The following is a 15,857-nucleotide window of genomic DNA, read 5'->3' on the forward strand; positions in this document are numbered from 1 at the left end:
CCTTCCAGACCACAGTGGAATAAAACTGTGTGTTTTATTTCCTGTAAAAGGAACCCTCACGACTATACAAATACATGGAAATTAAATAATCTGCTCCTGAATGATCTTTGGGTCAACAATGAAATCGGGATGGAAATTTAAAAATTCTTTGAACTGAACGATAACACTGACACAACTGATCAAAACCTCTGGGATACTGCAAAGGCAGTGCTAAGAGGAAAGTTCATAGCCTTAAATGCCTACATCAAAAAGTCTGAAAGAGCACAAATAGACAATCTAAGGTCACACGTCAAGGAACTAGAGAAACAAGAACAAACCAAACCGAAACTCAGCAGAAGAAAATAAATAACAAAGATCAGAGCAGAACTCAATGAAATTGAAACAAACAAACAAAAATAATACGAAAGACAAATGAAACGAAAAGCTGGTTCTTTGAAAAGATAAATAAAATTGATAGACCATTAGCAAGATTAACCAAGAAAAAAAGAGAGAAGATCCAAATAAGCACAATTAGAAACAAAACAGGAGATATTACAACTGCTACCACAGAAATACAAACGATCATTAAAGGCTACTGTGAACACCTTTACGCACACAAACTAGAAAATCTAGAGGAGATGGGTAAACAATTGTAAACGTACAATCATCTTAGATTAAATCAGGAAGAAATAGAAACTCTGAACAGATGAATAACAAGTAATGAGGTTGAAACAGTAATTTAAAAATTGCCAACAAATCAAGTTCAGGACCAGATGAATTCACAGCTGAATTCTGCCAGACATCTAAAGAATAATTGGTACCATTATTTCTGAAACTATTGCTAAAGATAGAGAAAGAGGGAATCCAACCGAAATCATTCTATGAAGCCAGTATCACCCTAATACCAAAACCAGTAAAGAACATAACAACAACAAAAAAGAAAACTACAGACCAATATCTCTGATGAAAGTAGATGCAAAAATCCTCAACAAAATGCAAGCTAGCTGAATCCAACAGTATACCAAAAAGATAATCCACCATGATCAAGTGGGTTTCATACCAGGGATGCAAGGATAGTCTAACACACAAGTCAATGAATGTGATACTTCACATAAACAGAATTAAAAACAAAAATCATATGATTATCTCAATAGATGCAGAAAAAGCATGTGACAAAATTCAGCATCCTTTATGATTAAAACCCTCAGCAAAATTGGCATAAAAAGGACATACCTCAAGGTAATAAAAGCCATCTATGACAAACCCACAGCCAACATTATACTGAATGGGGAAAAGTTGAAAGCATTCACCCTGAGAACTGGAACAAGACAAGGATGCCCACTTTCACCACTTCTATTCAACATAGTACTGGAAGTCCTAGCCAGAACAATCAGACAAGAGATAGAAATAAAGGGTATCCAAATTGGTAAAGAGGAAGAGGAAGTCAAACTGTTGCTGTTTGCTGATGATGTGATTGTATACCTAGAAGACCCTAAAGACTTGTCCAAAAACGCTCCTAGATTTGATAAATGAATTCAGTGAAGTTTCAGGATACAAAATCAATGTACACAAATCAGTAGCACTGCTATGCACCAACAGCGACAAGGCTGAGATTCAAATCAAGAACTCAACCTCTTTTACAATAGCTGCAAAAGATAAAATACTGAGAAATATACTTAACTAAGGAGGTGAAAGATCTCTACAAGGAAAATTTATGAACCAGTGCTGAAAGAAATCACAGACAACACAAACAATTGGAAACACATCACATGCTTATGGATAGGTAGAATCAATATTGTGAAAATAGCTATACTGCCAAAAGCAATGTACAAATTCATTGCAATTCCCATCAAAATACCATCATCATTCTTCACAGAACTAGGAAAAAAATCCTAAAATTCATACGGAACTAGAAAAAAGCCTGCATGGCCAAAGCAAGACTAAGCAAAAAGAACAAGTCTGGAGGCATCACATTAACTAACTTCAAACTGTACTACAAGGCTATAGTTACCAAAACAGCATGGTACTGGTATAAAAATAGGGACATAGACCAATGGAACAGAATGGAGAACCCAGAAATAAAGCCATACACTTATAGCCAGCTGATCCTTGACAAAGCAAACAATAACATAAACTGGGGAAAGGACACCCTATTCAACAAATGGTGCTGGGATAATTGGCAAGCCACATGTAAAAGAATGAAGCTGGATTCTCATCTCTCACATTATATAAAAATCAACTCAAGATGGATAAAAAAGGTAAATCTAAAACCTGAAACCATAAAAAGTGTAGAAAATGACATTAGAAAAACTCTTCTAGATATTGGCTTAGGCAAAGAGTTTATGACCAAGAACCCAAAGCAAATGTGACAAAAACAAAGATAAATAGATGGGACCTAATTAAACTAAAAACCTTCTGCACAGGAAAAGAAATAATCAGCAGAGTAAACAGACAACCCACAGAATGGGAGAAAATCTTCATAAACTGTGCATCCAACAAAGGACTAATATCCAGAATCTACAAGGAACTCAATCAGCAAGAAAAAACAAATAATCCCATCAAAAAGGGGCAAAGGACACGAATAGGCAGTTCTCAAAAGAAGATATACAAAAGGCCAGGAAACATGAAAAAATGCTCAATATCACTAATTTTTATGGAAATGCCCATCAAAACCATGGGATAACAACCTCTCTGGCAAGAATGGCCACAATTTAATCATCTAAAATAACAAATGTTGCTGTGGATGTAGTGAAAAGGGAACACATTTACACTGCTGGTGGGAATGTAAACTAGTACAACCACTATAGAAAATGGTATAGAGATTCCTCAAAGAACTAAAAGTAGAACTATCATTTGATCCAGCAATCCCACTGCTGGGCATCTACCCAGAGGAAAAGAAGCCATTCTATGAAAATGACATTTGCATGTGCATATTTATAGCAGCACAATTTGCAATTGCAAAAATATGGAACCAGCCTAAATGTCCATCAACTAAAAAGTAGATAAAGGAAATGTACACACACACACACACACACACACACACACACACACGCACCATGGAATACTACTCAGCCATAAAAAGGAATGAAGTAATGTCATACACGCCAACCTGGATGGAGTTGGAGACCATTATTCTAAGTGAAGTAACTCAGGAATGGAAAACTAAACAGCTTATGTTCTCACTTATAAGCGATAGTTAAGCTATGAGAATGCCAAGCCATAAACATAATATAATGGACTTTGGGGACTCGAGGGGAAAGGGTGGGAGGTGAGTGAGGGATAAAAGACTGCACATTGGGTACAGTGTACACTGCTTGGGTGATGGGTGCACAAAAATCTCAGAAATCACCACTGAAGAACTTATCCATGTAAACAAACACCACTTGTTTTCCCAAAACTATGTAAATACAAATAAAAATTAAAAATTAAAAGAAAATAACAATGATGTAACACAAACCAATCTGAAGTGTGAATAGAGAAAACCCACAAAAGAGAAGGGTGGGTATTATCTAAGTCGGCCACATTCTTTCTCTTAGAGGGCTCTTTTACTTTTGAGATGCCACTATTTCTGTGTACAAGGGCCCTCTGCCAGGAATGTCTTCCTGTGACCCCCACTTGACAGCAGAGTAAATGCTTACTTCTCATAACCCAGATCTAACAGCTCTTTTTGAAGACTTCCCAGTTTAGCCACACCATTACCTTATTATCCTCTTTCTCGGAAGAACTGGTCAGTTACTTTCATTGTTGATGATATGGGTATGGTTTTTAAAGATCCTATATTTGAAACATTATAACTTTATTTTTTAAAACTGAATTTAATACTTGGGCTCCATTCAGTTAATTCTGATTTGCCCCACTTTTTTTTTTTTTTTTTCCAAGGAGGTTTCATATAAATTCTGAGGAATTGGCCAGGTGCAGTGGCTCACACCTGTAATCCCAACTCTTTGGGAAGCCAAATCTGGAGGATTGCTCAAGACCAGGAGTTCAAGACTAGTCTGGAAAATATAGCGAGGCCCTATCTCTACATAAAAATAAGAAAGTAGCCAGGGCTGGGCGTGGTGGCTCACGCCTGTAATCCCAGCTCTTTGGGAGGCCAAGGCGGGTGGATCACAAGGTCAAGAGATCAAGACCATCCTGGTTAACACAGTGAAACCCCATCTCTACTAAAAATACAAAAAAATTACCTGGGCATGGTGGCGGGCGCCTGTAGTCCCAGCTACTCGGGAAGCTGAGGCAAAAGAATGGCGTGAACCTGGGAGGCGGAGCTTGTAGTGAGCCAAGATGGCGCCACTGCACTCCAGCCTGGGTGACAGAGCGAGACTCTGTCTCAAAAAAAAAAAAAAAAAAAAAAAGGAGCCAGGTATGGTGGAGTGTACCTGTAGTCCCAGCTAATTGGGAGGCTGAGGTGGGAGGATTGCTTGAGCTTGGGAGGTCAAGGCTGCAATGAGCTGTGATCGCACCATTGCACTACAGCCTGGGCGACAGAGCAAGACCCTGCCTCAAAAAACAAACAAACAAATAAACTAACTAAATAAATTCTGAGGAATCTCCCAGCACCCATGAAGAAGGGACATCTTATCCTTGGTTGTCATTGGTCCCTATTGGCATCTGCTTCTGTCAGTCATACCTGCTCATTCCTGCTAGACTCAGTTATTGGCTTTTATCCTTGCCAGCATCCATGAAACATGGGCTTTCCCAAATGGATTCAGATGCAAGTCCTAGAAGAATATTCTCTGTTCTTGATTTGACTGATATTGAGTCTTCTTCAGGTCTTTGGGCTTTTTCTGTTATACCGAGTCGCTGTAGGTACAGTCAGGTTAAAGAAAGTTTTTGATGCTCTTCCAAGTGACATTGGGGTCATGAGCACTCAGTGAGGTTGTCTAAAGCTTCTCTTTCTTGGTCACTATATGTGCTCTGCCACTGCGGGGTGTGGGTGAACTCTGGGACCTTACATAAGAAGCACAGTTCAGATTTCCTCTGTGCCCACATCCCACACTTGCAGTGGCTTCCTTCTGCCGAGAGAGGCCAGGGGCAAAGTTGCCAGGGGCACTACCCAGGCTCTGGTTCTCTTGTCTTTCTGACTCCTCATGCAGCTCAGAAATCCTCCTGTGTGGGTGAAGAATGCTTGCTGCAAGTGGTCTGCTATTTGTTTTATATCTGACCTTAGAAGTACTAAAGCCAATAATTTGAATCCTTTGTTCTCTAGGCTGCCTCTGACAGTTCCCCTTCTGTCCCTTCACCCTTGAGACAATGGCGCCAATTTATGATTCTCTGTCAGGTATGGTGTGACTGTGTGTGTGTGTGTGTGTGTGTGTGTGTGTGTGTGTGTATTGTAGTAAAACAAAACATTTCTCCCTAAAATATTGAGGATTGTTAAGTTAAAAACACTGAAAACACAGGGGAACATTCTGCCTCAGCCTGTATTTGCCTGACAGTGGAGGTAAATCCTTCCTTACTGGAGACAGCACCTGCTTTTCAGCCCAGAGAAGGCACCAGCAAGCACCAGAGGACCCAAGGAATAGATTTTACTGTCTTCCCATGTTTTCCCACCTTTTAAAAGACTGTAACTGCTCTCCCCTTTTTCTTATCACTATGTAGGATTTATGGCTGTTTGTTAAAATGCTATGTAAGCAAAGCCCCTAAGCCACTGCCTTGAGAGAAATACTTTTGAACAAAGGCCTCTCCCACTGATGGGTACAGCAGGAGTTAATAAACTTCTGCTTGTTTTTCTTTTGTTTATTTGACTTTTGTTTTCAGGAGAATGTCTCAAGTAAGAACCAAAAAAGGGAAAGAAAAGAAATTATGCTTTCTCCCCTACGGTAGTGAGCGGCTTGTTTCCTTTTTTTTTTTTTTTTTTTAATATTTTATTTTTGGAGATCTGGTGTGTTCTTTCTGCTCTTTCTCCTATTTTCTCCTGCCTGCTGCCTGCTGCCTATAATTCATATATGACAAGTGGAGAAGCCTCAAGGTATTCTTGAGGATGAAAGTCAGATTCTGAGGAAGGCAGGGCAGAACTGAGTCTGGGGATCTGATAACTTCATGTAGCAAAAGTCCTTGCCCTGGACTTCTTGACCCCAAACAACCCTATCCCTGGGCTGCTGCTTCTTTTTTTTTTTGTCACAGAATACATCCTTTGTGTTTAAGCTACTATTATTTCTTCTTTATATGTGGCCAAACCTAACCTAATTAACACTGCTATCTTCATCATTTCAAACTTGAGTCTACAAGTGTTGTATAGAAACCAAAGTAAAACAGAATATTATTCTTGTTCTCAAGGAGCTCAGGAGCCAGTATGAGGGGTGAAAACCTGCACAAGTTACTTTGGCACAAGGCAAAGCAGGAGAAGTACAAAAGAGATGAGTGAGTGCTGTCAGAAATCAGAGAAGAAAGATGTACATAAAGTTTATTGTGGAGCAGATGTGATGAGTGGCTCAGAAGAAGATAGATTTAGAAGAAAATGGGTCGATTTTTTAAAATGGATGAAGACAGGAAGGGAAGGGCCTTCTAGGCAGAATAAATAGCACGAGGAAAGGGAGCTGCACAGTTTCTGTGCCAGGAATTCTGCATTGCCTGGGTTGGCAAAATTCCTAGGTGAAGAAGAGGAGAGTGAGGAGAGATGAGGCAGGAGAGTTAGGTTAAGCCTGCCTCTTAGAGGGCACTGAGTGCCCATGCACCAGGGTCAATGTATTGAAATTTAGTAACAAGCATTTCTCTTTGTTTTTTTCCATGTAACTGACCTTCTCCATAGTCAAGGCACACAACTTCCTAGAAAACCGAGACATTAGGATTCTTAAAGTTAGAATGCAAAGGAAAAGCAAGTGCCATTATTTAGCTTGTGACATTCAAAATGGACTCAGCAGCAAGAAAATAAGCCTTGGAAGCCAAATTTTATCTTAAAAGGAGAACTTTCTGAATTCCATTAATAGGCAAAGAATAGAGCCCTGAGGCCTCAGATTGTAGGATTCTACCACAGTGTTTAAAAGATTCCCCTCTTCCTTTTGTTGTGTAAGCCTGGAGTCTTGATGCCCAAGTAGGAATGAAACTCTCTTTGCAAGATCATAACAATGAGAAAATTATGACAGTGAAAGAGACATAATCTAACCAACCTACATCTTGCCTTTAACCTCCAAATTGCTTTTGGTCACTCCTGGGCTTGGGCCAAGCTAACTTTGGGAAAAAATTAGTTTATGGTTTAAATAATAATAGTCCTTCCCCAAAACTAAACTGCCTTTGTAAAACTAATGAAACACTACGAAGTTAGGAAGATGAGAGGAGCCTGAATTCTGCTAAGATCTAGGCATGAATGATTACCAGACATTATTCTGGCAGTCGCAAGATTTGCAATTTCCGCAATTCCTTCTGCAGATGACATCACTATTGTAGAATCTAAGACTGGCCTTTTGAGATGTCCTTTCAGGCTTTTGCATTTTTGATGACCAGATGGCCCCACCCAGACCTGTGATTTTTGGCTCAACTGCTCCTGTGGCCCCGACCCAGAAGCAGACTTAGCACATGAGGACAATTTTCCACACACCTACGATTGCATCCACAACCAATCAGCAGTACCCATTCACCTATCCCCCTGTTTACCAAACTATCCTTGAAAAACCCTAGCCTCTGAATTTTTGGGGAGATTGATTTGAGTATTAACTCCATCTCCATCTCCCATGTTGTGTGGCTGGCCTCATGTCAATTAAAACATTTTCTTTACTGCAATTCCATAGTCTCAATGAATTGGTATTGTCTGTGCAGTGGGCAGGAAGAACCCATTAGGCGATTACAGGATTACAGGAATCAAGAATAAGACAGTACAGATCTTTTCAATCTGGGTACAACCAGTGAGCTAGAAGCTTCTCTTGACCCTTGGTCTTCAGGAAAGCCTAACATGACCCAAGGTGGCCATACCTTTTGGCTGGTAGCTATGGTCCCTGGCTGGGAGCCTCTGGACATGAACAATTTTGTCTGGGGCTTGAGCACAATGGAATCAAGCACTCTTCCTGGGCATGGCCTAGGAGATGCTATACACCCAGTATTGACTTCAGGAGCCAGCTGGTAGGTGGGGTGTGTTGTTACCCATTGTAGACACTTGGACTCTGATGCTGCTGGAGATGGGGGAAGGGCTCATCTTCCAGGTGCACAGAAGCATGGGGTGCAGCTTGAGAACCTATGGTCAGTGTTCAGAGGTGAGTGGCCTCGTGGGTACTCCTGATTGACCCAGTTGGGGCTGTTTTTCCATATATCAGACACTTTTGTCCATGTGCAGCAGATGATCCCTTTTATGGTACCCAAACCAGTGGCAGAGTCTCACCAATGCACCACAATGTAGCATTCTCTTGTTGTGAGGTATCACCTGGAATGATTTGTCTCACAACCAAGAGAATTAAGGAGTGTGGACACAAAGGTTGAGGTTGGAGTGAAAGTTTAATAAGCCAAAGAAGAAAGCTCTTTGCTGTGGAGAAGGGACCCGTAAGAAGTTTGCTATTTTTACAGTTGAATGCAAAGGCTTTTATAGGAAACTGATGAGGGCTGGGTCTCTCATTTACATAAAGCATGAATTTCTTGTAGTTTCACCCTGTCTTCCTAATGCACATGCGGGCCCTTAGCTTGAGTTACTCCATATTGCTTTGTTCCCCTTACTGCACATGTGTCAGGGGACAGAATTTTTCATTGTGGGCATGTCCGGGCAAGTCACCTGTGTAGCCTTTCTTATTTGTATGCCTATGGGCATGTCTTAGGGATGCCCTTCTGTGCAAGTTCCCTTATCTGTGCTTGCAGGCTGTTTTTTTGTTTGAAAGGATTCAACTGAGGACCCACACTAACTGCCTGCCTGACTCAGTTTTTCCCTTTCTCCTTTCCCAGAGTGACTGCTCTAACAATGCACGTGGTTCTGCAAATTAACTTCACCACTAGTTTGAATACTTGATGTAGAAAAAAGTGTGATTGCACTCGAAGTGCCTTTGTATTATCACCAAAAATTTCAATGTTTCATTTGTCAATGGAAAAAAAAAAAAGGAAGAACTGGTCTTTTAAATGTAATTTTAACTATTGTCAATTTTTGAATTTACAATGTTCAAAATTCAAATATTTATGATAGTTATTTCCAAAATTTTAAATGGCTGTAAAATATCTGGTGTAAAAAATGGTTTTAAACCTATCACTCACTTGTGAGAATAAAGTTTCTCATCAATGTAGACTGTCTAGAGTTTGAAGAGCTTGTCATTAAAAACTTGAACAGGAATTGTTTGTGCCTATTTTTATGGATAAAAGCTGATGTAATATTTATGTGCATAGAATCAAGCTCAAGTTTCTCTTAAAAGATTGGAAGATACCTTATTTACGTGTTTTATAAATATTCAAAATTTAGTTACTTTTCTAGTACTTGGGTTTTTATTTATTATATGTTAGAAAAATAATGTAATAATTTTTTTCAGCAAGCCATGGATAGTTGTGCCCAGATCCCCTTCAGTTTATCCCAGTGTGCAGTACAAATATTATCAAATTTTTATGTTTGTTATGAAAATGGGTGAGAAGTATTGACAAAGAACACTCTACTCCCTTTACAGAGCTTAAGAAGGGAGGCTAAGTAAATCAAGCATCAAGGATTAATTAGAACTATCCAGACAAGTATATCAGAGAATGAGATGACTAGGACTAATAGTAAACTTCTCAGTTACACTAGAGGACACTGCAAGATTTAAGAAGCAGCCTTTCATGTAGCCCCTACTAACAGGAAAAATACAAATGATGGCTCAGCAGCATTGATAGGAAGAGCTGGACAGACAGGCCTATAGCAGTCCCTCTGGTTCCCCGTGAGCGAGGGATGCTGAAATTCCCATTTGTGCCAGGGAGCGGGCATGGAATTGTTAACCGTGATGGGGTCTCATTAAGGCCTGGAGGGAGCACATAGGAAATACTGTGGGTGGGGCCCTCTGGACTGGGAACAAATGACTGGGGCCTGAAGTGGTTGTTCTCACATCACTCCCAACACAGTCAGACGTGGCTGGTTGCACCTCAGAGTCAGTCAATCCAGCCATTCTGCAGCAAGAATCAATGGCCAGAGGAGGCCATGATGGTCTGAGGGCCCCTTCCTGCTGCTGGTAGGAGGGCACAGTAAATCCCTGTAACATATATAGTGGCTGTCATGGTGGAGTTGGAAGTGAGGGTGCAAAATCAGAAAGACCGAACATTTGGCGAAGGGTCTGATTCATCCAAAAGAGATCATGCAAACTAGGCATGATACTAAGTTGACTTTGAATACACTATTTAAACTTCATCATCCAAACTGACTGTTTAAAAGAGATGAGATTAAAATATCGCTAATTGTAACTCTAAATTACCCATGCTACTTAGCTAGGTGGGAGTTTGGTGAGGAAACTCGGGTCAGTCTTACAGACAGAAGAAACAAAGCTTTCTGGTCTCATCAGAATGCAGTGTGAAAAATGAGTTATCTGTCCTTCACCAGCTGAGAGGTTTAGGCTTCATTTCATAGGCAATGGGGTGCCTTTAAACCTTTGTTGGTGTCAGCAGCTTCCTGTGCTTTACAGACCAGGAATATACCTTCCTTTCCCTCTTTGCTCATCTGAACGTCCCAACTCTTCCAAAAAGGACACACACCACTCCTGGAACAAGAACCCCACCTCCACCTCCCGAACTCCTGTTAATGGAAATTATAAGGTTTCCTGTTAGGGAATAGTTGGGAGATTTCTGTATTTCCCTAAAATAATCTGGCCTAATGAATATGCTTATTAGAGTTTTTACTTCAGTTCACACTATCTTCTTTTCCTAAATCCTAAAATATATGAAAATACATTAGGTAACAGAATGATGATGAATCCCCTTACATAAAGTGACTATAACTAGAGATTGTTTTTAAAAAGCTGGCATTGAGACATCACCAAAAGCATCCTCCTAGGTCTGCAGAAGGGATTTTGGAAATGGCATGTGATACATTAATTCTAACTTACTGCTTCCCACATACCATGGAACAATCATTTTTTTAAAGCTGAAAATATTGAATGATTATTTCTAATGTGAAATGTTTTTAAGTCATAACATGTGCATTGTGAAATGCCTATCATATGTGTTTCTTGGGCTGGTAATCTCTGGGGTGAAGATACATAAAGATGAAAGCAGAGAAAGAATGTTTGCGAGGGAGCCTGGCCCCTCATTGACTATGTTGATGTGTCTTGGCCTCTCCCACTGTTGACATTACACTTTGCTTAGGATCTGACTTCTTAACTTTTCTGCCTTACTCTGTTCTCTTTCTCTCTGGGATGCATCTTAATGCAGGTCCTTTTTCTTGAAACACACATATTTTATCCCATAGTTTATGGGAGTCACACAGTAAAAATGCTTTGTGATTACAAAAATTTTTTTCTGTTTTCTTTTACAAAAGGTACAAGCCCAGTTAAGAAGTTTAAACATGAATTATATATAGAAAAATGTGAATATTACTCATTAAAATGACAACTTCTGTACCTTTTTATTTTTGGTTTTAAATTACACCACTAATCCAAATACTGTAAGGAATAACTGGTTTATAAAAGGTGATTAAGTTAGGAGTGACAGACACTTACCTTTTAAATAAAAAAGTCAGATCCTTAATATATCACAGGGTCCTAATTTATAAGGTCATCCTCTTTTAGCAGTCTGCCCATCTCAATTGTCTCCTGGGTTTTCTTAATATTTTGAGGACACAACAATGCTATTATTTTAGGTGTGGTAGCACTGGTGGAAAAATAGGGAAGCATTTCATATTGATGATGCAATGCTTTCCTTTATCCTGACATTCTTATCTTTGAATAGGAAAGAGGTAATGTGTTCACTATGTAAATTAATTATAAGCCTTTTTTTGCTCTGTAAAAAGGGGGAATATTAAGGTTTTAGATAGTAATTGTTCTTTGACTCTGGACATGAGTCTTTGGAGAAATTCTCTTTGGTAAATGCAGTTCACTCACACGCAGTGAAAACAGCCATCAAAAGCTTTCATAAAGAGGCTGATAGTATGGAGTAATAACTACTTTGAAGGGCGTTGGGGGAATTATTCAGAGGTTCTGCAAAGTGGTTTGGAGACGAAAAGTGCAATATAAATGCTAAGTAGCCCCATATTTTTCTGGGAAGAGGTGCAGTAAATGTAATCATGGCTCTGCTCAAGCTGAGAAGCCTGATGGCCACCTCTACGCTCATATTTAATGTTGATGAAATCGCTGACACAACTTCCAACAGAGGATCTCTTTCTTCCCCCCTCACTATCATGTAAATAATTTCCACAAAAGTCAGAGCAATTCCTGCTTATGAAAGCTTTACACAATTCCCAGAATTGTGAAGGAAAAAAAAAGCAGGCATATGGTATTTATATAGTGGGTACTCAGTAAATATTTGTTTATTTTATTTTACTTTATTTTATTTTATTTTACCATTGCTTTTTAGGTGCCCTTTACACGTGTGCTTTTGAATTCCCCTAACATGATATCAGCACTAGATGGCGCTATGTTACCGTGAAGACTGCCAGGGTGGTGGTGGTGGTGGGGTGAATCTCTAATGTTGTAATTAGCCAACAATGCAGATAAGCAGAGGTTTAATTTAAGTCATTTCCCCCCTCATTATACTTTATAAGAAATCATGACCTTTTTATTTTGGAGGGGGTACAGGGACTTACTGTATTATTTTATCTCAGCATAAGCAAATTCAATTTGCTTTAATTCTCACTTTGAAGGAGAGAATGTCAGGCTGCCTCCTGCTCTGTTTCACAGTGTGTGGCATTGGTAATGAGCTCTGACAGCACTCCTCCTGCCGCTAACTGTGTCACATGAGCCGTCGGAAGGTGACTTGAGATGTGAAGAAATGAAGGTGCGTAATTGATTCTCACAATGAGAACATGCTTTCTAGTCCTTTGAAATTCCCCTAATGGGCTAAAATGTTATGTTCCTTTTCCCTCTAAAAACAGTTTGTAATGATTCAAATGGTCAATGATTTTGAAAATAATTGAACAGCTAAGCCTTAAAGTACTGTATACAAGCAAATTTTAGCAGAGGAGAGCACTGGCTTCCACTGTGACTAGAATTATCTTTGTGGGGACAGAGAATATTCCTCCCAGCCTCCCATCTTTTATAGATGTGAGGTGACATGGTGTTTTAGTGTGTTAATGCATGTTTCTATCTGTTTGGTGTTGAAAACCTTCAAAGGCGATTAACTCCCTTACAGAAGCTGAGAGGGAAGGAAATGAGTCCTTCACCAGGATATAGGCCTCTGAATGGTGGCGTTACTATAATGATATACATGCTTATGTATCTCTGTATCTCTACATACTTTAAGTCATATTTGATTAAGACAGTCTGCGGCTACTCAAAAAGAAAATTGGGAAGGAGAAATTGTAGAAAGGCAGCCGGAGAAGCTACTAAAGAGAATAGAAATAGCTTGATCCAAGAAAATGAAAGAGGCTAAGGTATAAACTAACCCTGCTGTTTCCAAACTACGTGCTGGGACACCCCAAGGTGCTGCAGCCAACTCACAGAGAGGCCCCAGGATATTTTGAGTTTTTGAAGGAAATGGAGCAGCGTCTACCAGAAACCAAGCAAATGACTTTAGAGTTTTCATACTAAATTACACTACATTCCTACAGTCCTAGGTGACATCATATTTTTGCAAAGCTAGGTTTTTGGAGGTTGATGGGATAAAAAGCAAGTAGTATGCAAAAATGAACAGGAATAGTTAACAAGGATGGCAGTGTCCAGTCTCATTCCAATGATGGAGAGGCTGTGCAGGGCCTAAGGGACACACATGCCCCATTTGTAAGTAATTGTGGTTATTTAAGACTGAAATGAAAGGTATTTTTTTCAATTTGTATTATTATTTTCAAATAGCTACTTAATTATTAGGACATACATACTTAACATTTTTGGATTTAACTACCTAATGAAAGGAATGGCTATGTAGTTTTTTTTTTTTTGGTGGTTAAAAAATTACTGAGACACTGAGGGTGCCAGGAAGTTAGAAAGTTTGAACTTCTGGGCTAACACTGTTTCTTGATGTCCTTTGAGGAGTAGACACGTTCCTGCCTCAGAGACTTGGCTCTCGCTGTCCTTCTTCTGGAATGTGCTTCCCTCAGATAACTGGTTGACTCAATTCATCACTTGCAGTAAGTCTCTGCTCTAATCTCACCTACTCCTGGGGGCCTCCACTTACCACCCTCATTCATCCTGCCCTGCCCACCCTCCCCAGAGCTCAGCTGCCTCTTCCTTTCTCTATTTCCCCTTTTGTCCATCATCCATCTCACTTTTAATATACTACATCATTTATTTATTTATTTATTTTATTTATTATTTTTGTTGTTTATTGTTTGTTCCTCTCACTAAACTATGTCACGTGGAAAAGGTTCTTTGCTTTTTTTTTAAATAGACTAGTACATTTAAAAAGTGTTTAGAATAGTGCCTGACACATAGAGCTCTTAGTAAATATTTGTTGAATGAATGAAAAGTTCTCAGTGGCATCTCAAGCCTGGTAAATACATGTTTTGTATCTATTTATTTTACAAAAATGTATATAAAAATTATACAGAATAAAATATCTTAGGAGCTCTGAGATGTTTTGTAATTCATATACTGGAAAAATAGTTAACTGAGACATTTTTGTGGTTGTTGTTATTGCTTAAATAAATCCTATGTTTTTGCTTTATAGAATGAGAGAATGAGTACATCAAAGATTGTATTCTTACTTTTCCTAGTTTCTCATTCTTTTACATAAGCCAATATGTACCTAGAGCTATATAGTCATGTGCCACATAATGATATTTTGGTTAATGACAGACCTCATATATGATGTTTGTCTCAAAAGATTATATTGGAGTTGAAAAATTCCTCACCTATTGATGCCTTGATGATCCTGACCTGTGTAGGCCTAGGCTAATGTGTGTGTTTGTGTTTTAGTATCTAACAAAAAAAGCTTAAAAAGTTAAAAAAAATTTAATAGAAAAATCTTATAAAGACAAAAAAAATTTTTGTATAGCATTATATGTGTTTGTGTTTTAAGATGTGTTATTACAAAAGAATCATATAGTTTAGACAAATTAAAATGCTTTTAAAGTAAAAAAGTAATAGTAAGCTAAGGTTGATTTATCATTGAAGAAATAATATATATATATATATTTTTTGAGACAGAGTTTCACTTTGTCGCCCAGGCTGGAGAGCAGTGGCACCATCTTGGCTCACTGCAACCTTGGCGTCCTGGTTTCAAGCAATTCTCATGCCTCAGTCTCCTGAGTAGCTGGGACCACAGGCGCACGCCACCATGCCCAGCTGAGTTTTTTGTATTTTTGTAGAGATGGGGTTTCACCATGTTGCCCAGTCTGGTCTCAAACTCCTGAGTTCAGGCAATCTGCCTACCTCAGCCTCCCAAAGTGCTAGGATTACAGGTGTGAGTCACCGCGCCGGCCATGAAAAATGTTTTAAAAATAAATTTAGTGTAGCCTTAGTGTTTATAGAGTCTGCAGTAGTATACAGTAATGTCCTATGCCTTCACATTCACTCCCCACTCACCCAATCACTCACCCAGAGCAACTATCAGTCTTGCACATTCCATTCATGGTAAGAGCCCTACAAAGGTGTGCCATTTTTTAATCTTTTGTATCATATATTTATTTACATTTTCTATGTTTACATATACAAATACTTACCATTGTTATACAATCGCCTACAGTATTCAGTACAGTAACATGCTGCACAGGTTTGTATCCTAGGAGCAATAGGCTCTACCACATAGCCTAGGTGTGTAGTGAGCTCTACTGTCAAGGTGTGTGTAAGTGGACCACTCTATGATGTTTGCACAGTGACAAAAATCTCAGAACGTATCCTAGTCATTAAAAGATGCATAACTCTACTTAC

General features: G+C 39.1%; 1 long non-coding RNA gene across 1 annotated transcript in view, besides 1 other annotated feature; it reads left to right on the forward strand.

The window, feature by feature from the left end:
- The window catches only part of LOC107986441 (uncharacterized), a 62,022-nt gene that overhangs the window by 33,351 nt on the left and 12,814 nt on the right, over positions 1 to 15,857 (forward strand). The window lies entirely within an intron of this gene.
- Positions 8,187 to 9,386: an enhancer, noted in NCBI's record as "MED14-independent group 3 enhancer chr5:113010540-113011739 (GRCh37/hg19 assembly coordinates)". NCBI's record gives its function as "activates an origin of replication core promoter dependent on BRD2, BRD4, P300/CBP and CDK7 cofactors, and independent of MED14, by STARR-seq in HCT116 cells {active_cell/tissue: HCT116}" and the evidence as "EXISTENCE:reporter gene assay evidence [ECO:0000049][PMID:35650434]".

Source organism: Homo sapiens, chromosome 5 (genome assembly GCF_000001405.40).
Source record: "Homo sapiens chromosome 5, GRCh38.p14 Primary Assembly".
Taxonomy (NCBI): domain Eukaryota; kingdom Metazoa; phylum Chordata; class Mammalia; order Primates; family Hominidae; genus Homo; species Homo sapiens.